Source organism: Homo sapiens, chromosome 10 (assembly GCF_000001405.40).
Source record: "Homo sapiens chromosome 10, GRCh38.p14 Primary Assembly".
In the NCBI taxonomy this organism is placed as follows: Eukaryota; Metazoa; Chordata; class Mammalia; order Primates; family Hominidae; genus Homo; species Homo sapiens.
In genome coordinates, this window is record NC_000010.11 from 45,724,414 (window position 1) to 45,748,889 (window position 24,476).

Sequence of the window (24,476 nt, forward strand, 5' to 3'; positions counted from 1 at the left end):
GTGTGAGCCACCACGCCAGCCCAGCCTTAGTGTTAACACTGTTATAGGTTACTGTAACATATTGGCTCACAGTGTGTGTTCTCGGGTCTGCCTCTTTCCTGGTTACCTAATCATAAGTAAGTTACTTCTCCTTTCTGTACCTCAGTTTCCTCAACTATAATTTGGAAATAATATTTCCTCCCTCATAGTCATTGTGTGAATTAAATGAACAATGTATAAAGTGGTAAATACTGAACACTTGATAAATGTTAGCTATTATTAAAGGAGAGACTGATATTTAAATGATTACAATACAATGTAATACCTTAGGATAAATACATCAAAAACAACTTTTTTCCTTATTTATTTTACAGCTTTATTACTGATTTCCCTCTAAAAAGAGACCCAAATAAATGTGGAGCGACTCATTATAGAGTAAGGAATCACAAAGTACCATAGTCACGTAACAAAAGCAAAAAAAAAAAAAAAGCAATTGTTTTACCTTTCAACTGCTGATGTTATGTACAATCTATCACAAGAAGCATAGCTGTGCATTCATGAGCTGATTGTATTAACCTCTAGAATTTTAGAAACGAGCACATCTAAGCATGTGGATACTCTCTTACCTTACAAAGTAAAAGCAAGCATTTTCTATTTTAAAATTTTTATATCTGTGTAAAACGAAGAATTCCTGGAGGTCAAATAAGAAAAATATACCAAACTCAAAACACTATTAAGTCATGAAACGAAGACTCTGAGGTAGAAGTCAAGCAATATAATCCACAATTTCAGGTATTCCCAGCAACCATCGCATCTCGCAAGTAAGATGTATTTTTTTTTAAAGTCTCAACTTCCAAAAAATCAATAATCCATTCTGTAAAATCAGATGTAAAACTATGACCGAGCCGGGCGCAGTGGCTCACGCCTGTAATCCCAGCACTTTGGGAGGCTGAGGCGGGCGGATCACGAGGTCAGGAGATCGAGACCATCCTGGCTAACACAGTGAAACCCTGTCTCTATTAAAAATACAAAAAATTAGCCAGGCGTGGTGGCGGGCTCTTGTAGTCACAGCTACTCGGGAGGCTGAGGCAGGAGAATGGCATGAACCTGGGAGGCGGACCTTGCAGTGAGCCGAGACTGCACTCCAGCCTGGGCGACAGAGAGAGACTCCGTCTCAAAAACAAACAAACAAACAAACAAACGACAACAAAAAAAACCAACTATGACCGACAGAAGACACCCAAACTTTTGTCGTGGTAACACAGTAAATGCTTTTACTAAAAGCTGCCAACATTTCTATCGTAAGGGGGCAGCTGGTTGTAACCTTAATGTCCATATTGGTCGGGATAGTAAGGTTCTTGTCTGTGTTGCGGGTAATTGTTACCGCAGGATTGTCCACGCCACTGATTGGATCGATTGTCACTTGGCCACCCCCATCTGCCGTCCCTGCCTCTGAACTGTCTGCTATCTTGCAACCGATTGTCTCTGTTTCTTTGGTTCCCACCAGCTCTGCTATTCCATTCCTCAACAATTGGAGAGGACTCAGGAGGGCGTTTCAAGTATTCCTGATACTCCTCGTCATCTTCTGTGAATCTACTAGCAAACATCTCTTCAAAATTTGGAACAGCTTTGGCAGTGTCAGTCATTCTGAAATTCCCAAAGATTTGAGGCAGCTGTATTGTTTAATGTTTAGGTTGTTTAAATCCGCCAAGGGCTGTGTCTATCTAGCTCGGGCCGAACCCCGCCAGCGAGACACTAAGAGACCGCAGGAGAGGTGGCCTCTGGCCCACCACACCGTGGAACTCCAGACCACCCCAGCTCTCCAATGTAGCGGAGACCCTTCCGCTAGCCATAGAAAATAACTTAAGTCACTTAAGCTGTACTTGGGGTAATCAGGTTATTTAATGAGGTGATAACTGAGGTGACTACAAAAGAAAAGTCTGGGATTGGGTGTGTGAGCAAGGTGCATGGGGACAGTGGTATGTTCTAGGTTGAAGGCTCACCCTAGGCCAAGCACCGTGGCACCTGTTTTACAATATCATAACTTTAATATCACATCCTTGCAAGATATGTAGCTTCGTTTTACTGAGGAAAGCTCAGAAAAGTTAAATAACTCGCCCTTGGGCACACATGACTGGAAAGAAATTGGGATTTTTATTTTAGTAAGTAAGTTGGTCAGGCACAAGGGCGACTCAGCAGAGGGAACTTCAAGGAAGTGTGAGACAACAGCTGGAGCCCTGAGCTGGGAGAGTGGAGGACGAATTATAAAGAGTTTTATGCCTGCCATAATGAGAAGCTTGTCCTTGAACTTGAGGGGAATGCTGAGAGTGCAAAGGACTTTAAGCAGGCCCTACACAGTGGCAGCCAAGCAGGTCATAAAGAGCAAGATGATGCCCAGGCAGATCAGGGATTCTCTTATCTACAGAGCGTCCGCCTACCAGCTCCTTCACAGCAGCGGATTTTGCTGCAAGAGAAGAGGCAGCAGGCCAGGCCTTTTCCTTCGCCCACAGCGCCTACGTCGAAGGCTCCCAGGCTGGTTGCTCCACTGGCTGCTTGAGGTCCCCTCTCTCCAGACCCGCCGAACTGGCGGCCGGTGCTTTGGCCGATCCCGCGCCGCTGCCTCGGGCCTTGGGCGGCAGCGCCCCCCGCCCAACCCGCCTCTGCAGCGTTCCTGGCGTCAGCCCCTATCCTCCAGCTTCCTCCGCCCCAACCTAGGGTAGAACCCCAAACTCCAGTCCCAGTCCACTTCCGCAGCTTCCTCCCCTCAGCATCGCAGGTCGGATCACGTGCGGGTTCTGTCACGTGACATCAGGTCACGTGAGGCCGGTCACGCCCCGGGCAGCTTGGCTGGGGCTAGGCTTCCGGGGCTCTGCGGTCCTCGGCCTGTGCTGGCAGCCTCGGAGCCCACCGAGCCGGGCGGCTGGGATGGTGAGGGCGGCGGGCCGGAGAGGGGCCGGCCTGGGCTGGGGCCGCCGTCCCTGCCGCCCTCAGGCTCAGCCTCTCTTCTCGTTTTTTTCGCTGCAGATGAACCGGACGACCCCCGACCAGGAGCTGGTGCCGGCGTCGGAGCCCGTGTGGGAGCGGCCGTGGTCGGTGGAGGAGATCCGCAGGAGCAGCCAGAGCTGGTCGCTGGCGGCCGACGCGGGCGTGAGAGGCGGGCCCCGGGGACGCGAGAGCGGCAGGGGTGACGCTTGGCTTGCGCGCAGGAGGGCCGGACCGCGACTGCCCCTGCACCTGGCCCGTCCCGTTGCCTGCCCTCTTAGGAACACACGCCCCGTTTAGCCCCCGAGAATGCCACCCTGGCAGTCCCCGGCCACCAGGGAGAGGGGCAGACCCTGACCGTGGCCCAGACGCGACGTTCCCTTCATGGGGTTTCTGGCTCAGCTCCATCCGGAGGGGAGATCCGTTTCCGCCACACTGAGGGATTGCTCGGGCACTAGGGAGGCGATTCCTGTTGGGACCTGGACTAAATGGGGTGGGAAACAAGCCAGTATGTGGATATCCTTTAATGGGATTCTTCAAATCGGGGGCCCAAAAAGCTCAGAACTGTTCGAGTCCCAAATGAATAGGATTTTTGAATAAGAGTGGTGGTTGATTAGCTAACCCTTGGTCTGTGATCTCTGTAGATTGACAACCAAAGAGGACTTTTAAAAGGAGACAGGGTTTTGCCCTGTCGCCCAGGCTGGAGTGCAAGTGGCTCGATCTTGGCTCACTGAATCCTCTGGGGTTCAGGTGATCCTCTCACCTCAGCGTCCTGAGTAGCTGGGACTATAGGCGTCCACCACACCTGTCTGATTTGTTTATTTATTTAATTTTAGTAGAGATGGGGGTCTTGCTATGTTGCCCAGACTGGTCTGCAACTCCTGGACTCTAGCGATAACCCTGCCTCAGCCTCCCAAAGTGTTGGATTACAAGCGTGAGCCACCATACCCAGTGCCAAAAAGGGATTTTAAATTTTTCCAGAAACGAGATAGGTGTCCATTAGCTCACTGCCACTCTTTTGATGAGCTTTCTTAGTGTTTTCCAATGTCACTTGGTTTTAGTACTTGTCAAACCAGCATTCCGGCCGGGCACAGTGGCTCACACCTGTAATCCTAGCACTTTGGGAGGCCGAGGTGGGCGAATCACGAGGTCAGGAGTTCGAGACCAGCCTGGCCAACATGGTGAAACCCCGTCTCTACTAAAAATACACAAAATTAGTTGGGCGTTGTGGCGGGCACCTGTAATTCCAGCTACTCGGGAGGCTGAGGCAGGAGAATCGCTTGAACGCGGGAGGTGCAGTGAGCCGAGATGGCGCCACTGTACTCCAGCCCAGGCAACAGAGTGAAACTCTCTCTCAAAAAAAAAAAAAAGCATTTCTTTCACATTCTAACACTCAAAGGTGAAAGGAAATGGGTTCTTTTTTGATGTGACATGCAGAATAGTTACATGTAACATTGATACTACTGTATGTTTATTTTTTAAAATAGCTACTACAGTTTCTACAGGAATTCTCACAGCAAACTATCTCTAGGACCCATGAAATCAAGAAACAAGTGGACGGACTAATCCGGGAAACCAAAGCCACAGATTGTCGCCTGCATAATGTCTTCAATGACTTCCTTATGCTCTCTAATACCCAGTTCATAGAGAATGTGAGTTATTTAGTTATATTATAATTCCTTTTTTGGGAGTAGGAGATATTGTAATTTTAAATAACTTACTGTTAGGTTCCCTCCTAAATTTTGGTGGAAGTGTGGTTCTTGGTAATTGTAGCTTTTTTCTCTGGGATTAACGCCTCTTTTTTATTTGTAAAGTTTTAAGTCCTTTTTTCCAAGCCTCTAAAAAAGTCTAATGATAAAATTTTCTTATACTTCAGTGCTTCCATCTTTTGTCGTTTTGAGAGTAGTCAGCAATTGTGCTGAATTGTGTGGCACTCACACTGCCTTTGTTGTGGCGTGATCTGTAAGGACAGCTGTTTACCTGGTTAGACCCTCTGGACACCAGCATATGGTTTCAGTTGTTGATTGGGGTCATTCTGTTCTGATAAATTATATTCAGGGGATATATATGTCTGCTTGCAATATTCTCAACTAAAGTTTATGATGGCCGAACTTACAATATGGAATCAACTGTAAACAGATTACTGAGCTTAAATCTATGTGTGATTTCTGTCTATTTACTGTTTCTTCTAGGTGGTAGGAATACATAGGTAAATTAGATAGAGCCTCTCCCTTGGCAAATAGTATAATTCCAGCATACAAAGGAAGTAAGTATGGCTGGAGCAGAGTGGAGACTTAAGAGATGAGGATGGAGAGGAAGCTTAGGTAACAGACCTGTGTTTCTCATAGGGTGTCCCAACTTTCTGAATATCAGCATTCATTTGTGGAAAAAGGATTATTAAAGTAAGCGATCTCCCGAGATTGTTAGATATAAAGTAATAAAATTTTCAGAATCACAAAATTATTAAAAAAGCCCAAGATTTAGAATAGTTAAGAGAATGCCATGTAGTCAACTTGTGCAGCATGTTTGTGCATTTTTTAATAGCTCAAGTTAAATGCCACTTCCTGTCTTTTTTTGGAGAGCTATATATAAAATAAAGACATTAATAAAGGTGTTAGAGATCTCTTTGCCAGTTATTTCCTTTAACAGCAAAGGAGTACTTATGAGTTTGAAAAATAACAAGTATTCGGCCAGGCGTGGTGGCTCATGCCTGTAATCCCAGCACTTTGGGAGGCCAAGACGGGTGGATCACCTGAGGTTGGGAGTTCGAGACCAGCCTGACCAACATGGAGAAACCCCGTCTCTACTAAAAAAATACAAAATTAGCCGGGCATGGTGGCGCATGCCTGTAATCCCAGCTACTTGGGAAGGCTGAGGCAGGAGAATCGCTTGAACCTGGGAGGCGGAGGTTGCGGTGAGCCGAGATCCTGCCATTGTACTCCAGCCTGGGCAATAAGAGCGAAACTCCGTCTCAAAAAAAAAAAAAAGTATTCAAGTAAAATCAGTAGTTTTCTGATTGTTTACACAGAATGTCCATGCTTGGTCCTGACTATCTCACTGGAAAAGTCAGGGACTCTAGACTCAACTTCTCTGGTGTGCACAGCCCCATAATGTTTTCATCAAGATTAATTTGGTGTCCTTTTAAGCACTCCTGTTCTTTTCATTCTGTACTTTTCTTGCTGGATCAGGTAGTCAGCACTTCTCTGCAGTCAGTGCTGCAGCACCAGAGTCCCAAAGGATTTGGGAAGTTTCTTTTTTTTTTTGAGATGGAGTCTCACTCTGTCACCCAGGCTGGAGTGCAGTGGTGCGATCTCCGCTCACTGCAAGCTCCGCCTCCCGGGTTCACGCCATTCTCCTGCCTCAACCTTCCAAGTAGCTGGGACTACAGGCGCGTGCCACCACGCCTGGCTAATTTTTTGTATTTTTAGAAGAGACGGGGTTTCACCGAGTTAGCCAGGATGATCTCGATCTCCTGACCTCGTGATCCGCCCACCTCGACCTCCCAAAGTGCTGGGATTACAGGCCTGAGCCACGGCGCCCGGCAAGGGAAGTTTACTTTGTACCCAGTGTGCCTGTACCAGATTGGTACTAGATTGGTACCAGATCAATACTTCAGTGGGAAGAAATGGGGAACATCATACAATTTTTCTCAATCACAGTCTTAGGTCTTATCTTTTCTCCAGCTCTTTTCTAGCCAAGTTTTCGTAGATTCTGAGTTTTCCATGTTGTAGTTTTTGTGGAGTTTTTTTGGTTTTGTTTTATTGTGTTTTGGTAATTGTTCTTTATTTCTGTCCAATACTGGGGATTTCCTGTTTTCCATCCATCTCTCCATCCCTTTAGCCTTAGCTTTTTTTTTTTTCTTCCGAGACAGAGTCTTGCTCTGTCATCCAGGCTGGAGTGCAGTGACACCATCTCGGCTCACTGCAACATCCGCCTCCCGTGTTCAAGCAATTCTCCTGCCCACACCTCCCATGTAGTTGGGATTACAGGCTCCCGCCACCAGGCCTGGCTAATTTTTTTTCTATTTTTAGTAGAGATGGGGTTTCACCATGTTGGTGAGTCTGCTTTTGAACTTCTGACCTCAAGCGATCTGCCCATTGCAACCTCCGCCTCCCGGGTTCAAGCAGTTATCCTACTTCAGCCTCCCAAAGTGCTAGGATTACAGGCGCGAGCCACTGCGCTCGGCCCTTAGTGTTAAGTCTTGATGCCCCTTCGCCTTCCAGTCTGCAGCCAGAACTCTTCTCCGGATGTGCTGGTTGCCGCTGCCAAATCTTAATTACTTCCCAGACCTTCCATAAGGCCACATGCTATAGGTTTTTTTCATTTGTGGCAAAGCATGATAATACTGAGAAAACAGCTAATGCATAATAAAACTCTGAAAAAATATACTTGCTGATATATATTTGTAAGTGATCTGGCTTTTTTTTTTTTTTTTTTTGAGACGGAGTCTCACTCTGTCGCCCAGGCTGGAGTGCAGTGGTGCAATCTCAGCCCACTGCAAGCTCTACCTCCCGGGTTCATGCCATTCTCCTGCCTCAGCCTCCTGAGTAGCTGGGATGACAGGCACCCGCCACCACACCTGGCTAATTTTTTTTGCATTTTTAGTAGAGATGGGGTTTCACCGTGTTAGCCAGGATGGTCTCGATCTCCTGACCTCATGATCCACCCGCCTTGGCCTCCCAAAGTGCTGGGATTACAGGTGTGAGCCACCATACCCGGCAATCTGGCTTTTTAATGTTTTATTTTCAATCCCTGACATCAGTACTTAGGTGTTACAATTCCAGCTTGAATTATGGTGCCATTTGGTTTCATGGTAATTTATCAGAAACATTCAAAGTCAGATAGGTTTCTGGGTTTTATTAATTAGCCTCAGGGGCAGCCACAAAGTTGCAAACTATATTATAAAGTTAGTGAAACAATCCGTACTTTCTAGGGCGAGAACAGTCAGGACTTTTTAGGGCAAGAGAAATTAGTACCATTAGTAAAGGCTCAAGAGGGGACTTGGAGGGAGAAGAAATACTAATTAACATTGGCCAGTGTTCTAGTGTCTAATTAGAAGGCAACACAATTCTAAAGGCTTAATTATCTGTTAATTTAGGAATTGGATCCTGAAATAGCAAGTGCCATAGTTAATGACTTTAGTTTGTTAAATGAACTGGTGAGGGAGGATTTTTTCTTTTTAAAGTCAATTGTTTCAAAATCTTAGCTTTGTAAAATTAAAAAAAAAATTCCAGAATGAAACAAATTAACCTGTTTATGCCCAAGGTTAGAATTTTTTTTGTGAAAAGCCAGACCTTGGCAATGACCTTGAGCAGTAGGATATACATAATTCTGACAAGCTTAGTGTTCCAATAATGGGACACTAGGCATAAATGGGTTAATTTTCCAGATCATCTTCCTGTTGATTTATAAAAGCTGAATTTTGGTCATTTTTCCCTCCTTTTCTACTTTTCTATTGAAGAAACAGATGGAGTTGCTGAAACTGTCAAGTACTCAGCAATTAGAGAGAAGGAGGTAAAGCCCAAAAGCCTTATTAACATATAATTTCCTGCACAGGTTTTTCCCTCTCCCCCTAGACCTGCTTTATTTTACATAATGCCCCTTGCTTTTGACACTCCAGCCTTCTCATTCCTTGGAGATGCCATATGCCCTGCTGCTACGGGGCCTTTGCTTACATTGCTTCCTATGCCTCTACCCTTTGATTGACATCTGTCTGTCTTCTAGGTCTCTGCTCAATTATATTACTTCCTCCTGGACCCTCTGCACTAGGCACACCCCCTGGATAAAAGCAGCTGAAGCATCACATTCTTTAGTAGACTTCTTACAATTGTAATTTTACAATTATTGATGGGATTTGATGAGTTGGACCCTCCCACTAAATCAAGCCCCATATTTTTAACAACAAATATATTTGAGGGGTCCAGCACAAGCCTGATATTTAGGGATCCAGTGAATATTTGAATGAATGAGAGTACGCATAAATGAAAGGGGACCAGGGCTGTGTATAGTCTGTTACTCTCCAGCCCTGGTCCCTTTTTCCCCAGTTCCCCTCTTTCCCCTTTTACCCTGTCTCCCCAGATGAGGAGCAATACCAAAGATATTTAACAGTCCTGGGTATAGCTATCTGACTGTAAATTGATCACAAAACACATGAAGCTGTGAGTTTAGCAGGTGAGGATGAAAGAAGTTAGCATTGGTTATCTGCTGGATATGAAGTACTTGAGGATGCATAGTCCTGCTCACCCTGAAAAGATCCCATGGGCTTTAGGTCCCATGGGTTTAGGTTTCTTAGATGTCATGTTTGGCTTTCTAGCTGCAGGCTGCTGATGGGTAACCATGGTAGCTGCCAGGTCTTAAAGTCTCACTTTTGAGATTTACTTAACTTTTTGGAGTCCTGACTTTGAAAATTACCAAAGTAATCCCTGATCTTTATAGAGCAATTAGGAAAAGTAAGAAAAAGAAAAATCATGTGAAATTTCCTCAGCTTGAGGGGAGCCTCTCAACGTTTAGCACATATATTCTAAGTCCATTTCCCATGCAGACATCAGGCTTAAAAGAATTGAACCTACAGTAGGCCGGGTGCGGTGGCTCACGCCTGTAGCACTTTGGGAGGCCGAGGTGGGCGGATCAGGAGGTCAGGAGATTGAGACCATCCTGACTAACACGGTGAAGCTCCATCTTTACTAAAAAATACAAAAAAATTAGCCAGGCGTGGTGGCAGGCGCCTGTAGTCCCAGCTACTCGGGAGCCTGAGGCAGGAGAAGGGCATGAACCCGGGAGGCAGAGCTTGCAGTGAGCCGAGATCCCGCCACTGCACTTCAGCCAGGGTGACAGAGCAAGACTCCGTCTCAAAAAAATAATAATAAATAAATAAATAAATAATTGAACCTACAAAAAATCAGCTACCCCAAATTAACCAACCATTGAACTTTTCAGTGTATTTTTTTCTGTTCTTGTTTTTTAACTTTAACCTTTTCTAGATGACTGTGTGTGTGTGTGTGTGTGTGTGTGTATTTTCATTTGCAGCCTACTTTTTTTCTTAATGTGAACTTATTTAACCCATCTTTGAGACTTTTGTGAATTTAATTTTTTTGTTCTTAAACCGTATCATAATTTATTTAATAATCTTCTAATATTAAATGTTATTTATGAAATGTTTCATAAATTTCATAAATGTTTCATAAATAAATAGAAAAGTTCAGAGAGAAACCACAAGTGCTAAGAAAATGTAGCACCTAGCATCAGTGGTTTTGTATCTTGCCACATTTGCTTCAAAGGTGCCTACCCACCATATTCGTCCTTAACTCTAATCATTTTGGGTGGGGATTCCTTGGTATCTCTGCCTTTTTATTCTTTTTTTGTTTTTGAGACAGGATCTCCCTCTGTTGCCCAGGCTGGAGTTCAGTGGTGCAGACAGCTCACTGCAGCCTCAAACTCCTGGGCTCAAGCCATCCTCCCATCTCAGCCTCCTGAATAGCTGGCTAGGACCACAGGTGTTCGCCACCATGCCTGGCCAACTTTTTATTCTTTTTACCTAGAGAGGGATTTCATTTTTATCCCTTATAGATAACCTTTATTGTGTAGTTGTTCTTTTCTTCATTGACTATTATGTATGAATGTTTGTGTGTGTTTATGTGAAAATAAAATCAGGCCTCCATGGAATTGTGGGTCTGTTTCTGCCCTCTGCTGTTTGTTTTGTTTCTCTGCTGTTTGACAGTATCATAATCTTAAATACTGCAGATTTCTAATGTCTTATTAGGGCAAGTCCCCATAATCTGTTTTTATTCAGAATTGTCATGGTTATCAATCTTTGGCTTTTTACTTTTCTGTGTGAATTTGAGGATTATCTTTTACTTATTTATTTATTTTTTTGAAATAGAGTTTCAGTCTTGTTGCTCAGACTGGAGTGCAATTGTGCAATCTCGGCTCACTGCAACCTCTGCCTCCCAAGTTTAAGCGATTCTCCTGCCTCAGCCTCCTGAGTAGCTGGGATTACAGGCACCGGCCACCACATCAAGCTAATTTTTATATTTTTAGTAAAGATGGGGTTTTGCCATGGTTTCACCATGTTGGCCAGGCTGGTCTCAAACTCCTGACCGCAGGTGATCCCAAAGTGCTGGGATTACAGGTATGAGCCTCCCAAAGTGCTGGGATTACAGGCATGAGCCACTGTCCCCAGCAGGATTATCTTACTATATTGTGCCACAGAATATTTTATTAGCGTTTGATTGGAATTACATAGAATTATAAATTTGGTATTTGTGACTTTCTGCTGGAAATCATGATACCATGAACATTCTGATGTTTGCGTTTATGATAATTTTCATGGGAGCTAAATTTCAAGAAGTAGAATTTTGGGTCAGAGGATATGATCATTTAAAAGCAACATTGTTTGATCAGATTGGCAGATACTTAAAGATGGGTGGACAGGAGCCATTGCTGGCAAAGGTTTGGGTAAGGGGCACTTGAGTATGCTGCTAGTGACAGGGAATTCTACGCATTTGTGCATAGAATCTGGGAATGACTATTAAGATTTATTTATTCCCTCTCTAGGTAAAATCCTTCTCTAGGTATATAAATAAATAATAAATAATAAATAAATAATCAGTTTCAGCCAGGCACAATGGCTCACACCTGTAATCCCAGCACTTTGGGAGGCCAAGGCCGATGGATCACTTGAGGTCAAGGAGTTTGAGACCAGTCTGGCCAACGTGGTGAAACCCCATCTCTACTAAAAAAAAAAAAAATGCAGGCCGGGCATGGTGGCTCACACCTGTAATCCCAGCACTTTGGGAGGCCGAGGTGGGCGAATCATGAGGTCAGATTGAGACCATCCTGGTTAACATGGTGAAACCCCATCTCTACTAAAAATACAAAAAAAATTAGCTGGGCATGGTGGCAGGCACCTGTAGTCCCAGCTACTCAGGAGGCTGAGGCAGGAGAATGGCGTGAACCCAGGAGGCAGAGCTTGCAGTGAGCCGAGATCGCACCACTGCACTCCAGCCTTGGCAACAGAGTGAGACTCCATCTCAAAAAAAAAAAAAAAAAAAAAAAAAAAAAAAAGGGCAAAAACAAATTAGCCGGGTGTGGTGGTGCACGCCTGTAATCCCAATTACTTGGGAGGCTGAGGCAAGAGAATCATTTGAGCCTGGGAGGTGGCGGTTGCAGTGAGCCAAGATCCTGCCACTGCACTCCAGCCTGGGTGACAGAGCTAGACTCTGTCTCTAAATAAATAAATAAATAAGCAGGAAGGGTAGGAGAGCTCTAAATATATGCACGTGTTAGCTTATATTTGTGTTCAGAGCCTCAGGAAATGAGCATACACACCAGGCTTAAATTGGGTATTCCAAGGATCAGGTTGGGGATAGGGAGGGAACTATTTTAAAATACATCTCTTTTCCATGTGCCTTTATATTGACTTAAAATTTTAAAAATTGAGATAGAATTCACATACCATAAAATTCAGTCCTTTAAAAAGTATACAATTTGGTGGTTTTTACTGTACTCAAAGTTTTATAATCACGGCCACTGTCTAATGCCAGAAGATTTTCATCAGTTCATTTATATTGACTTCTTATTTCTTTCTTTGTAAAAAATTTTAATTTCATTTCATTTTATTTTTGAGATAGAGTCTCACTTTTTCACCCAAGCTGCAGTGCAGTGGTGCAATCAGGGCTCACTGCAGCCTTTACCTCCCAAGCTCAAGAGTTCCTCCTGACTAAGCCCCACAAGTAGCTGGAATTACAGGTGCACACCACCATACCTGGCTAATTTTTGTATTTTTTGTAGAGATGAGGTCTCACTATGTTGCCCAGGCTGATCTTGAACTCCTGAGCTCAAGTGATCCCCTTGCCTCGGTCTCAGAGAGTGCTGGCCTTACAGGCGTGAGCCACCGCACCTGGCCTATATTGACTTTTTATAACAAGCATGTTGTACTTCGGTAGTTTTTAAAACATAAAAATGATTTTAAAAACCAAGAATCACAGTGATTTGGCAGAGCAGTGGGTCTTTTCTGGAAAAGAGAGTCTTGCCTACCCATGCTGTCAGGGTTAGTCAAATGCCCAGGCTTTCTGGCAAGTCAGTGGTAGATTTTTCTCTCTGCTTTCATACAAATGGGATAATAAAAATTTATCAGCCATTTTAAGCAACTGAATGAAAATAAGTTTTGCCTTTACCATTTTCCTTGTTCAAAATCCTGAAGTTCTAGTTTCCTAGTTGATAAATTACATCAGTTGACATTCTCCATAAGCTGGGGTCAGAATACTGTATCATTGCCCATCAACATTATTAGGTTAAATGAAAAGGTGTGAAAACTGATATCTTACTGTTTTTGCAACTCTTGGTTTACAACGAGGTTAAAGTTTCATCATGTTTCCTAGTCATTTGTATTTAAATTTTTTTTTTTTTTTTTTTTGGTGAATGGACTATTCTTTGCTGTTAGTCCATGACCCACTGTTACGGACACCCACCTGGTAGTGGTCTCAGCCCTTTGCTGAATAACCATTTCCTTCCGCATCTTTGTCCTTAGTTACTGTGTGAATTCTTATATTGTGATTTATTTCCAATGACGTGTTGACCTTTTAACATTGAGTTTGCTTCCATATTTAGCGTGTATATGATGAAGAAGTGGAGGAGCCAGTACTCAAGGCTGAGGCAGAAAAAACAGAGCAGGTACTTGTATAAAATCACTCTTAGCTGAGTTTCTGACTTTGAAAAGTGTGGTGGAGATCGATGTGTTATGTGGGAACTGGGGGATGGTGGGTGGGGTTGGGAAAGGGAGGGACTGCTCCTGACAGCAGCCCAAGAGGGGATTCTTTCCTTTGTTTCTGAAATGTAGTATATTAACTAATACAGAGATCAAATCCTTGAATTCTGATATAAGAATAGAGTAGAAGTCAGCAAACTTCTTTTGTAAAGGGCCAGATAGTACATATTACAGATTTGGAGGGTCACAGAGGTCATTTTTTTCCTGTGGCTTCCTGAGTTACAGATGGACCAGCCTTCTTCCTGAGATCTTCTCACACCAGAGCCCAAAACATAGCTAAGAGGTTCTGGGTCACACTGACTTCTTAGCACTCCAGCAGAGATTTCTTTTTCTTCCACTCAGGAAGGCACATGGACTGTGAATAAGTTTATTATTGGAGTAGCTTTGATTTTGTTCTCATTTATTCAGAAAATATGGATCACCTGTAAAGGTTGGCCCTTTGTCAGCAATTATTACTTGTAACAGATGAAGCTGTTAGACTAGGAAAAGGGTATTCAAAACCAGCTATAGTTCTGCCTGTTGCCAGCATTTTTTTAAAAAAGTTATTTTATTTTATTTTTTATTTAAAAAATTTTTTTATTTTGAGATGGAGTCTCACTCTGTTGCCCAGGCTGGAGTGCAGTGGCACGATATCAGCTCACTGCAACCTCTGCCTCCTGGGTGCAAGTGATTCTCCTGGCTCAGCTTCCCGAGTAGCTGGGACTACAGGCGTGTGCCACCACGCCTGGCTAATTTTTTTGTATTTATTGTAGAGACGGGGTTTCGCCATGTTGGCCAGGCTGGTCTCAAACTCCTGACCTCAAATGATCCGCCAGCCTTGGCCTCCCAAAGTGCTAGGATTACAGGTGTGAGCTACTGTGCCCAGCAGGTTATTTTATTTTTAATAGAACTCAAGGATTTGCTAGCCATTTAAGTGCAGTAGTATCTGGTTATACCAATTCAGGGTTTAATTTGAAGGTGATAGGTATTTAGTGTACTATTTTTAAAAACTGCTATATATTTCATACACATTTTCACAAACTCAGTACAATATTAGCTATTTAACTCAGAATCAAGCATATCCAAATAGAAAAATACACAACCAAGACAAAAAAGTTCAGTTAGAAAGACTTCAGTACTTGAGATAAAAGACTAAAATGCTCGTAGGGTTTTTTTTTTTTTTTGCCTTTGGCCCTCAGAACAACACTGTGTGGTTTGGTTCCTTCTAGAATATTTGTAGAGGGGGAAATGACACTAAATATTTTTCGGTATTTCTCACAATGGCACACTTGTGTCTGTGGGGACTGCCATTGAGAACTGCTGTTGCAGGAAGAAGACACCTGAGGGAGATTCTCAGCCTGTTGGTGATATGAACAAACCTTTTTTCTTGAATGGGGCATTGTTGTAGGGTATACACAGAATAGACCGGAGATGAAAATGACCCCCTTTTGATGTAGAACAGATTTATAAAATAATTGTAATTGTCCAGTTTTTTTTTTTTTTGTCTCTTTAAACTGTAATTGAAAAATGAGACCTCTGTGACCTTCCTTCTAAGTCTTAACACCTAAAATTACCCAAGGGATAACCAGGGCTCGTGGGATAGTCATGGTGAGTCTGAGAGTCTAGGCCCTCCAGCAGTGGGGAAACAGCATGCATTCATTGTTGGGATACTTCTCCACACACTAGTTGTACCTCTGCTTTTGTAGACGATGACCCTTGAGCTCTGGAACCTTAGGTAGTTTGATGCATGTCCAGAAAGGGGCAAACTTGGGATTTAAAACTTGCAGTCTTACTCCAAAGTCTGTGTCAAGGCATTCAGCAGAATTTGACTTTTTTAACATTTTTAATAAGTTTTTTTGGAGCTTGAGGCTAGGCTTTAGAGAACATTCACAGTATTCTTTTGGGGCAGTATCAGTATATTGGAGACCCATACTGCATGGTATTTATTTTGTAGGAGAAGACACGAGAGCAGAAAGAAGTAGATCTCATTCCTAAAGTCCAGGAGGCTGTGAACTATGGCTTACAAGTATTGGACAGTGCCTTTGAGCAACTTGATATCAAAGCAGGAAACTCAGACTCCGAGGAAGATGATGCTAATGGGCGGGTGGAACTGATCCTTGAACCAAAGGTGAAGACATTCAACTTAAATATTTATTGCACAACTATTATGTTTGGGCTACTTTAATTGGGCACACGATTAGTAAGTCATGGACTTAACCTCTGGGAAGTGAGTATGTCACTTAGTAGTCTCACATTGACTCCACCAGAAAGACTCGCTTTACCTGAGCACTGATGGAGTACTTGTGAGGTGCAAGGCAACATGTCAAGTTGGGGTGCAAAGATGCAGAGCATGGCCTCTACTCTCGAGGTGTGTGTTGCAGTCTGGTGGGAGAGAGGAGACATACATACGAATAACCATTGTAAATGCCCTGAGAGAGAATTGATTTCCAGCTGGAATTTTGGGGCAAAGATGATATTTGAATTGGGGTTTGAAGGGTGGGGAGGCTCAAAAGAGACAGAGAGTGTTGGGAACCTGAAATTATGTAGCTTGGGCTAAGGAAGACTGCAGAAGAACTGAAAGGCATTTGGGTTGTTTCCGGTTTGGGCAATTATTAAATACAAATGAAGCTGCTGTGAGCATTCATGTCCAGGCTCCCTCATAGCCTAGTGAGTGTTGGTTGCTTGACACACTTTCTCCCACATTGTTCAAAGAGACAATTGGGGTGACACAGAGTCTCTCGGTAGTGAACACAGAAAGTTACCACAGTGATTTATAGAAAGAGGCCTTGTGACACACAAGGCCTTCCGAATTAAAACATGCCACAGAACCAAACCCTTTTTTTTTTTTGAGACGGAGTTTCACTCTGTCCTCCAGGCTGGAGTGCGTGGCACGATGTTGGCTCACTGCAACCTCTGCCTCCCAGGTTCAAGCGATTCTCCTGCCCCAGCCTCCCGAGTAGCTGGGATTACAGGCGCCCACCACCACACCCAGCTAATTTTTGTATTTTTAGTATAGACAGGGTTTCACCATGTTGGCCAGGCTGGTCTCGAACTCCCAACCTCAGGTGATCCGCCTGCCTTGGCCTCCCAAAGTGCTGGGATTACAGACATGAGCCACCCCACCCAGCCTGAACCACTCTTCTAGTCATTCTGTAGCTGCACATTTCTCTTCCAGTTTGAGCTTTGCTGAGTCACACCAAATTGAGGCAGATCATTTGGCACTGACCAGTACACTTGCTGCTTGGATTTTCACTGTATGCCTTTAAAAGTCAGCAGTGGACTCTGGGAAATGGATTGCCTGGACCACACTTGATACTTCCAAGACACACAGCACTTTCTCCCTTTTTTTTTTCCCCTTGCAGAGAAAGTTGTGGAGGTACACTTTTCTTTTGTAGGAGGATTTGGGGATGTCTTCTGAGTCAGTGAGAATTAGTCCAAATTAACGCTGTCTTTGCCTTATGCTCCATTGGTTGCTGTGACGTCGTTGAACCTTTACTTTAACCTTCCCAATCTTTCTGTTGTTGTGTGAAACGTCAGAATTATTCTCCCCTGCCCCAGAGTCCTTTGACAAGGAAGAGATATCATTGCCAAAGGGCAATGCCTCACAGGGGACAGGGCAGCATTTCCTTCAGCAGTGGAGGTAGGAGGCTGTGCAAGGGTGGAGCACTTTCTTGACCCTATTTTTTTTTTTTTTTTTGAGACAGAGTTTCACTCTTGTTGCCCAAGCTGGAGTGGCGCAATCTCGGCTCACTGCAGCTTCTGTCTCCTGGGTTCAAGCGATTCTCCTGCCTCAGCCTTCCAAGTAGCTGGGATTACAGGCATGTAACATGACACCTGGCTAATTTTTGTATTTTTTAGTAGAGACGGGGTTTCACCATGGTGACCAGGCTGGTCTTGAACTCCTGACCTCAAGTGATCCGCCCGCCTCGGCCTCCCAAAAGTACTGGGATTACAGGTGGGAGCTACTGCAACCGACCAACCCTAAATTTTTAATGTGTGTGTGGTGTGGGACTGACAGGAGTAGACGGCTGACATGGGCAGATCTCCAGCATGTGCTGTTGGGGCCACAGTCTCCTGCCCTCACTCTGTTTTCTCATCTGGTCTTATTTTACCAACTTCACTTTTCTAAATTCAACAGTGTGGAACCACTAGGGGGTATTGTTCTTCTGTTTATTGAGTTATAATCTTTTTTATTTATTTATTTATTTATTTTGAGTCGGAGTTTCGCTCTTGTTGCCCAGGCTGGAGTGGAGTGATGTGATGTTGGCTCACTGCAACCTCCACCTCCTGGGTTCAAGAGATTCTCCTGTCTTAGTCTCCTGAGTAAATGGGATTATAGGTGTGCGCCACCACACCCAGCTAATTTTTAGTATTTTCGGTAGATATTGGGTTTCACCACGTTGGCCAGGCTGGTCTCAAACTCCTGACCTCAAGTGATCCATCTGCCTCAGCCTCCCAAAGTGCTGGGATTACAGGCATGAGCCACTGTGCCCGGCCTAATCTATTTTTATATTAAAATATATAGATATATTATGTCTCATTAGTACTGCTTTTTAGGGGACAGCTCACCAGAATGTTCAGTTTCTTTCCTTGGTCCTCCTCTTCTTGGACCTTATACTAGGAGGTTGTACCCTTTTCCCTGTTTGCTTGCTGCTGATAGACTTTTGGTAGGCTTTTGCCATTTTTGTTAAATTTTGTTAATTAGGCCCTTGGGGAGGGAGATTCTGTGTGATACAGCTTTACTTTGGCATCTTTTTTCTTTTTTTTTTTTTTTGAGATGGAGTTTTGCTCTTATTGCCCAGGCTAGAGTGCAGTAGTGCAATCTCAGCTCACTGCAACACTGTTTCCTGGGTTCAAGTGATTCTCCTGCCTCAGCCTCCCGAGTAGCTAGGATGACAGTTACCCGCCACCATGTCCCGCTAATTTTTTTGGATTTTTAGTAGAGACGGGGTTTCACCACGTTGGTCAGGCTGGTCTCAAACTCCTGACCTCAAGTGATCCACCCGCCTTGGCTTCCCAAAGTGCTAGGATTACAGGCGTGAGCCATGGTGCCCGGCCTTACCTTGACATCTTTACCTAGGATTTGACTTTTAAAAAAATCAGTGAAAAAAAGAATTTTTTTTTTAACTTTTAGTCCTGCTGTGTTTCTTATTCTCCACCTTCGTTATGTAGCTTGTTTGGGATAGTCAGATGGAACAGGGTATCAGGTGGCACATGTAAGTTTGTTTTCAACTGAAATGTTTGACAGCCTATTCCTTTCATCATGTACAGGATCTATACATTGATCGTCCTTTACCATATCTCATTGGGTCAAAGCTGTTCATGGAACAAGAAGATGTAGGTCTTGGAGAGCTGTCCAGTGAAGGTACTTTTCTTCACCAAATAATTTTATTCCTTAACATTTCTTTTTTATTTTAAAATAATTTCAAATTTTACATTAAAGTTTCAAGAATAGTTCAAAGAACTCTCATATACCCTTCACCTGGGTTTACCAGTTAACATTTCACCACATTTGTTAGATTGTTCTCTACATATACGTAATATTTTGTCTTGAGCCTATTTGGGAGACATCATGCTCATGCCCTGTTACTTCTAAATGTTTCTCTGTGTGTTTTCTTTTTTTCTTTTCTTTGTCTTTTTCTTTTTTTGAGACAGAGTCTCGCTCTGTGGCCCAGGCTGGAGTGCAGTGGTGCGATCTCAGCTCACTGCAACCTCCGCCTCCCGGATTTAAGCGATTTTTCTGCCTCAGCCTCCTGAGTAGCTGGGACCACAGGCGTGCACCACCACACCTGGCCAATTTTTGTATTTTTAGTAGAGATGGGGTTTCACCATATTGTCCAGGCTGGTCTCGAATTCCTGACCTCATGATCTGCCCGCCTCGGCCTCCCAAAGTGCTGGGATTACAAGCATGAGCCACCGTGCCCGGCTCTTTTTCTTTCTTTCTTTCTTTCTTTTTTGAGCCGGAGTTTCTCTCTGGTCACCCAGGCTGGAATGCAATGGTGCGATCTTGGCTCACTGCAACCTCCACCTCCTGGGTTCAAGCAATTCTCCTACCTCAGCCTCCTGAGTAGCTGGGATTACAGGTGCCCACCACCACACCTGGCTAATTTTTGTATTTTTAGTAGAGATGGGGTTTTACCATGTTGGGCAGGTTGGTCTCGAACGCCTGACCTCAGGTGATCCTCTGTGTGTGTTTTCTAAGAACAAGGACATCTCTTGTATAATCACAGTAGAATTACAAAGCCAGGATATTTTCCTGGACATAAGGGTATTATCCAATCTGCTGCTATGTTCACATTTTGCCGTTTGTCCCAGTGACACCCTTTACAGTCTCTCTCTTTTGTTCTGTGGTCCGGGACTCAATCCAGGACCAGCCACCACATTTGGTTGTCAAATCTTCAGTTATCTTTTAATCTGATGCCATTTCTCAGCCTTTCTTTGCTTTTTATGACCCTGACATCTTTAAAGAGTACAAGCAAGTTTTTTTTTTATTTGTAATGAATAATTTTTGGGGGGAGAGATACTTCAAGACTACATAAATATGTAATTCCTCACCATAATGACACTTTCAATTCCAGTAAGTGGGTATAGATGGTTTTATCAAGATCTCTGTGATGCTGTTGTATGGTGGTTTGTGATTTTGAGCTAAGGACATTTTCTTGTGAATATTGGTGTGGTGACCCTTATCTCTCTTCTCAACAGAAGGCTCTGTAGGCAGTGATCGTGGCAGTATTGTGGACACTGAGGAAGAGAAAGAAGAGGAGGTAAGGGCTGTTTGGTATGACCAGGTCACGGTGGGCAGCAAGCTTAATTTAAGATGGGCCTAGCAGGCTAAGTAAATAGCATAACTGTGAATTCGTAATCTGCTTCCATAAAGCTTTTAACAGTGATAGAAGCCACATTCTGAGTTTTTTTTCCCAAGGGTTAGATTTCCTTTTTGCCTTATGTACAATAATAGGGAAAGCTGCTTTCATCTCTTCCACTATTATCCTCTCTCCCACCTTGCCACCAAATATCTCTTTCACCCAATATATTTTTGAGAAGGGCAGCTTAGATGTTTTGGTGGAATCTCTGCCTGGGATATAGTCTTTGAGTATATTCCGTCTTTGAATAATTCTAAGGGAAAAAATCTACATTTAGAACTTTTGTAAACTATAAAACCTAGAGCAGGATATACCGAAAGCCACCACTTACATTCTATTTTGCTGCTGCCGCTAGCGCTTTCATATCCACAGAGCATAATTTCATTTCCTTGTCTAGAGTTTGAGTCTGTGGGCCTTGACTACAGTTGAATCTGTAGTTGTTCTTTAGATGGGATATTCGTTATTGGAAAGGACACAGCCATGTTGCAGGAGAGTCCTCGAGTATGGGATTTCCGAAAGGAGACAGTGTTGTGTATGTGCTTTTCTCTTCTGGTTGGTCCCCCTTTCTGCACTCTCCCTGCCCGCCTTTCTTCCAGTCCTCCAAAGAAAAACCTGACAGCAGGAAATGAGCTTTTCTTAAGTAACTTTCGTATAACAAAAGCAGTGCTCATTAGGGGAATCCCTTGCTTTTAGCCACCGATGTGGCACTTCTATGTGGCACTTCATCAATAGTTGCTCGTAGCAACTATTGATGTCCCCTTCTTGGGCCTAATGAAGTAGTTATTTTTATTTTTTATTTTTATTATACTTTAAGTTTTAGGGTACATGTGCACATTGTGCAGGTTAGTTACATATGTATACATGTGCCATGCTGGTGCGCTGCACCCATTAACTCGTCATCTAGCATTAGGTATATCTCCCAATGCTATCCCTCCCCCCTCCCCCCACCCCACCACAGTCCCCAGAGTGTGATATTCCCCTTCCTGTGTCCATGTGATCTCATTGTTCAATTCCCACCTATGAGTGAGAATATGCGGTGTTTGGTTTTTTGTTCTTGCGATAGTTTACTGAGAATGATGGTTTCCAGTTTCATCCATGTCCCTACAAAGGACATGAACTCATCATTTTTTATGGCTGCATAGTATTCCATGGTGTATATGTGCCACATTTTCTTAATCCAGTCTATTATTGTTGGACATTTGGGTTGGTTCCAAGTCTTTGCTATTGTGAATAATGCAAGGAAATAGAGACAGTATAGTCCAAAATGTAAAATAACACAAACTGACTTTCAGTAATTTAGTTAGTTAAATGTGCAACTCTTTAAATCCAAAGGCAAGAGTTGAAAGTGCAGGTGATGTGAACAAATTGTTAGAGGCATTTAAGTGAACCACAAAAATTACATGTTAACTGGAACAACCCTTCACAATATTGCCAGCTACCCAGCTTATCTGCACCTTGATACTTAAGGTGACCAGTAGTCAGTACAAAGAGACTGAGTGTCAGAGCTTTTTCTCCACTTGACATAGAATCAGCCTGCCCCAGAGACTTAGACCTGCAATCATTTCTGTGCTTCTAAGTAAAGCCCATTTAACAACAAAGCCTTTTCTTACCCATAAAGGAGTCAGATGAAGATTTTGCCCATCACAGTGACAATGAACAAAACCAGGTAAGGCTCATATATTGAAATGACTTTGTTTTTACATTTTAATTGAAGCATAGTATATATACTAAAATTACTTTGGAATGATTTATGACCAAGTGAGGATTTTTTCATGTATACAATTTATTTTCCTTTAAGCATTTCATGTATTTAGGCTAACTACCTCCTTTGTATATATTTTTTCCAATTTTGCTTTATAGTTTATTTTTCTTAGAAAAGAAGTTTCAAAGAAGTGAAAAGCACAATTGGAAAACAGAGCCTCTAAAAGAAGACTCAGTTACCCAAACTGAACTACTTTGCATGAGTCCCTCTTCTGTTTTAAAATTGGAGACAATCTAGCAGTAACATTATTGAGTATTCACAAGATGAAAACTTCTTACCCTACTGTCTTAGCACGGTTATCTTAATTTTTGAATATCTAAAGGCGTATTCTTTTCATAGTGTGCATCGTTCATTTTCTGCCATTTTATGTTAACATTTTATAAATGTGTCCTTATTTATTATTATTATTTTTTTGAGATGGAGTTTTGCTCTTGTTGTCCAGGCTGGAGTGCCGTGGCGTGATCTCAGCTCACTGCAACCTCCGCCTCCTGGGTTCAAATAATTCTTCTGCCTCAGCCTCCCGAGTAGCTGGCATTACAGGTGCCCACCACCATGCTCAGCCAATTTTTTTTGTATTTTTAGTAGAGATGGGGTTTCACCATGTTGGCCAGGCTGGTCTCGAGCTCCTGACCTCAGGTAATCCACCCACCTTGGCCTCCCAAAATGCTGGGATTACAGGCGTGAGCCACCATGCCTGGCCTCCTTATTTTAAATAGCCTTTGCAGTTTGCGTTGTAAACTTCTATACTTTTAAACATACTGAGTATGATACTGTCATAGTCTCTAAATGTATAAGGGAAAGAGTTTATTTCTAGAGTTGTATTTTTGATGTAATAATGTATTCAATATTTTCTTTTCTTTTTTTTGAGACAGAGTCTCGCTCTGTTGCCTAGGCTGGAGTGCAGTGGTGTGATCTCAGCTCAATGTAATCTCCGCCTACAGGGTTCAAGCGATTCTCATGCCTCAGCCTCCCTGAGTAGCTGGGACTATGGGTGTGTGGCACCATGCCCGGCTAATTTTTTGTATTTTTAGTGGAGTCAGGGTCTTCCCATGTTTCCCAGGCTGGTCTTGAGCTCAGGCAAACCACCCACTTTGCCCTCCCAGAGTACTGGGATTACAGGTATGAGCCACCACGCCCAGCCAATATTTTCATATATAGAAATCCTTTGCTTCGGTGAACTGTTTCTTCAGAATGAGGTGGTATAGAGTTATGTTAATAACTCTTAATGTCTGGTGGACATTCTAAATTAAGTATTATGCATGTAGATTTTCCTACAATCTCATCACTGGGGTGATTATTTTAAATTTCTTTTAGTTAAAAATTTGCATTTAAATTTCTTAACTGGGAAATATTTTTTTCACAAAAATGTTTAACTATCAAATGAAGGATTTTATACTTTCTGGTTGTTACTGTATTTTCCTGGTTGTATTCATAAATGTGGTTGATCTCTATAATTTTAACGATCAGTCTTTCTTCATAGGATATTTGTTTCTATGGAATTTCCTATTAAGATCTGTAAATGCAAACAGTTTTTCTTTCCTTTTTTTTTTTTTTTTTTTTTTTTGAGACAGAGTCTCTCTCTGTTACCCAGGCTGGAGTGCAGTGGCACGATATTGGTTCACTCCAACCTCCACCTCCTCGGTTCAAGTGATTCTCATGCCTCAGCCTCCCAAGTAGCTGGGATTATAGGCATGTGCCACCATGCCCAGCTAGTTTTTGTATTTTTAGTGGAGATGGGGTATCGCCATGTTGGCGCGGCTGGTCTTGAACTCCTGACCTCAGGTGATCCGCCTGCCTCAGCTTCCCAAAGTGTTGGGATTACAGGCGTGAGCCACCACGCCCGGCCACAAACAGTTTTTCAAAAACAGTACAGTATAGTGAGTAAAAGCACTAGCTTATGCAACAGGTTGGTTTTGTGTGCTGCAGCTAACCTCAAAGTTGTAAGGATTAAATTAGATAATAAAGTGCTTTTAGTAACATGCCTGGCACAGTTCATTGATTCAAACATTGAAAAAAAATTTTTTTAATTATACATAGTAGTGTGTACCTTTGGAAAAATTAGAACTTAACAGATAAGGCTAAGTTTGAGCCTTCCAGTCCTTTCCTTCTCTGCATACTCTTCAGAGGTAACTGGGATCATGCTCTG

General features: G+C 43.1%; 1 protein-coding gene and 1 long non-coding RNA gene across 53 annotated transcripts in view, besides 4 other annotated features; one reads left to right on the forward strand and one right to left on the reverse strand.

The window, feature by feature from the left end:
• Positions 1-338: 338 nt before the first annotated feature.
• Positions 339-2,769, reverse strand: LOC107984227 (RNA guanine-N7 methyltransferase activating subunit-like). Its single transcript, NR_199876.1, has one exon. It is a non-coding gene; the product is annotated as an RNA guanine-N7 methyltransferase activating subunit-like (long non-coding RNA).
• Positions 2,079-2,824: an enhancer, noted in NCBI's record as "H3K27ac hESC enhancer chr10:46221940-46222685 (GRCh37/hg19 assembly coordinates)". NCBI's record gives its function as "activates a minimal SCP1, AML or CMV promoter by ChIP-STARR-seq in primed H9 embryonic stem cells {active_cell/tissue: H9 hESC(primed)}" and the evidence as "EXISTENCE:reporter gene assay evidence [ECO:0000049][PMID:30033119]".
• Positions 2,544-2,593: a silencer, noted in NCBI's record as "silent region_2348". NCBI's record gives its function as "represses an Ori minimal core promoter by ATAC-STARR-seq in GM12878 lymphoblastoid cells {active_cell/tissue: GM12878}" and the evidence as "EXISTENCE:reporter gene assay evidence [ECO:0000049][PMID:35858748]".
• Positions 2,630-24,476, forward strand: part of WASHC2C (WASH complex subunit 2C) — a 65,922-nt gene continuing 44,075 nt past the window's right edge. For 32 of the 52 annotated variants that reach the window (NM_001330074.2, NM_001367397.1, NM_015262.3 and 29 more), the window contains exons 1-8: positions 2,853-2,907; positions 3,004-3,126; positions 4,449-4,613; positions 13,570-13,632; positions 15,660-15,833; positions 18,977-19,070; positions 20,408-20,469; positions 22,187-22,234. In NM_001330074.2, coding sequence (NP_001317003.1) covers positions 2,905-2,907; positions 3,004-3,126; positions 4,449-4,613; positions 13,570-13,632; positions 15,660-15,833; positions 18,977-19,070; positions 20,408-20,469; positions 22,187-22,234 — 732 coding nt within the window. In that variant the 5' untranslated portion in view covers positions 2,853-2,904. Of the gene's footprint in view, positions 2,756-2,852; positions 2,908-3,003; positions 3,127-4,448; positions 4,614-8,422; positions 8,476-13,569; positions 13,633-15,659; positions 15,834-17,409; positions 17,524-17,563; positions 17,661-18,976; positions 19,071-20,407; positions 20,470-22,186; positions 22,235-24,476 lie in introns of those variants that run through there. The other 20 variants (XM_011539570.4, XM_047424944.1, XM_047424947.1 and 17 more) reach the window with 11 other exon arrangements.
• Positions 2,825-3,569: an enhancer, noted in NCBI's record as "H3K27ac hESC enhancer chr10:46222686-46223430 (GRCh37/hg19 assembly coordinates)". NCBI's record gives its function as "activates a minimal SCP1, AML or CMV promoter by ChIP-STARR-seq in primed H9 embryonic stem cells {active_cell/tissue: H9 hESC(primed)}" and the evidence as "EXISTENCE:reporter gene assay evidence [ECO:0000049][PMID:30033119]".
• Positions 16,728-17,022: an enhancer, noted in NCBI's record as "tiled region #4830; HepG2 Activating non-DNase unmatched - State 15:Elon, and K562 Activating DNase matched - State 6:EnhF". NCBI's record gives its function as "activates a minimal TATA promoter and a strong SV40 promoter by Sharpr-MPRA in HepG2 and K562 cells {active_cell/tissue: HepG2 | K562}" and the evidence as "EXISTENCE:reporter gene assay evidence [ECO:0000049][PMID:27701403]".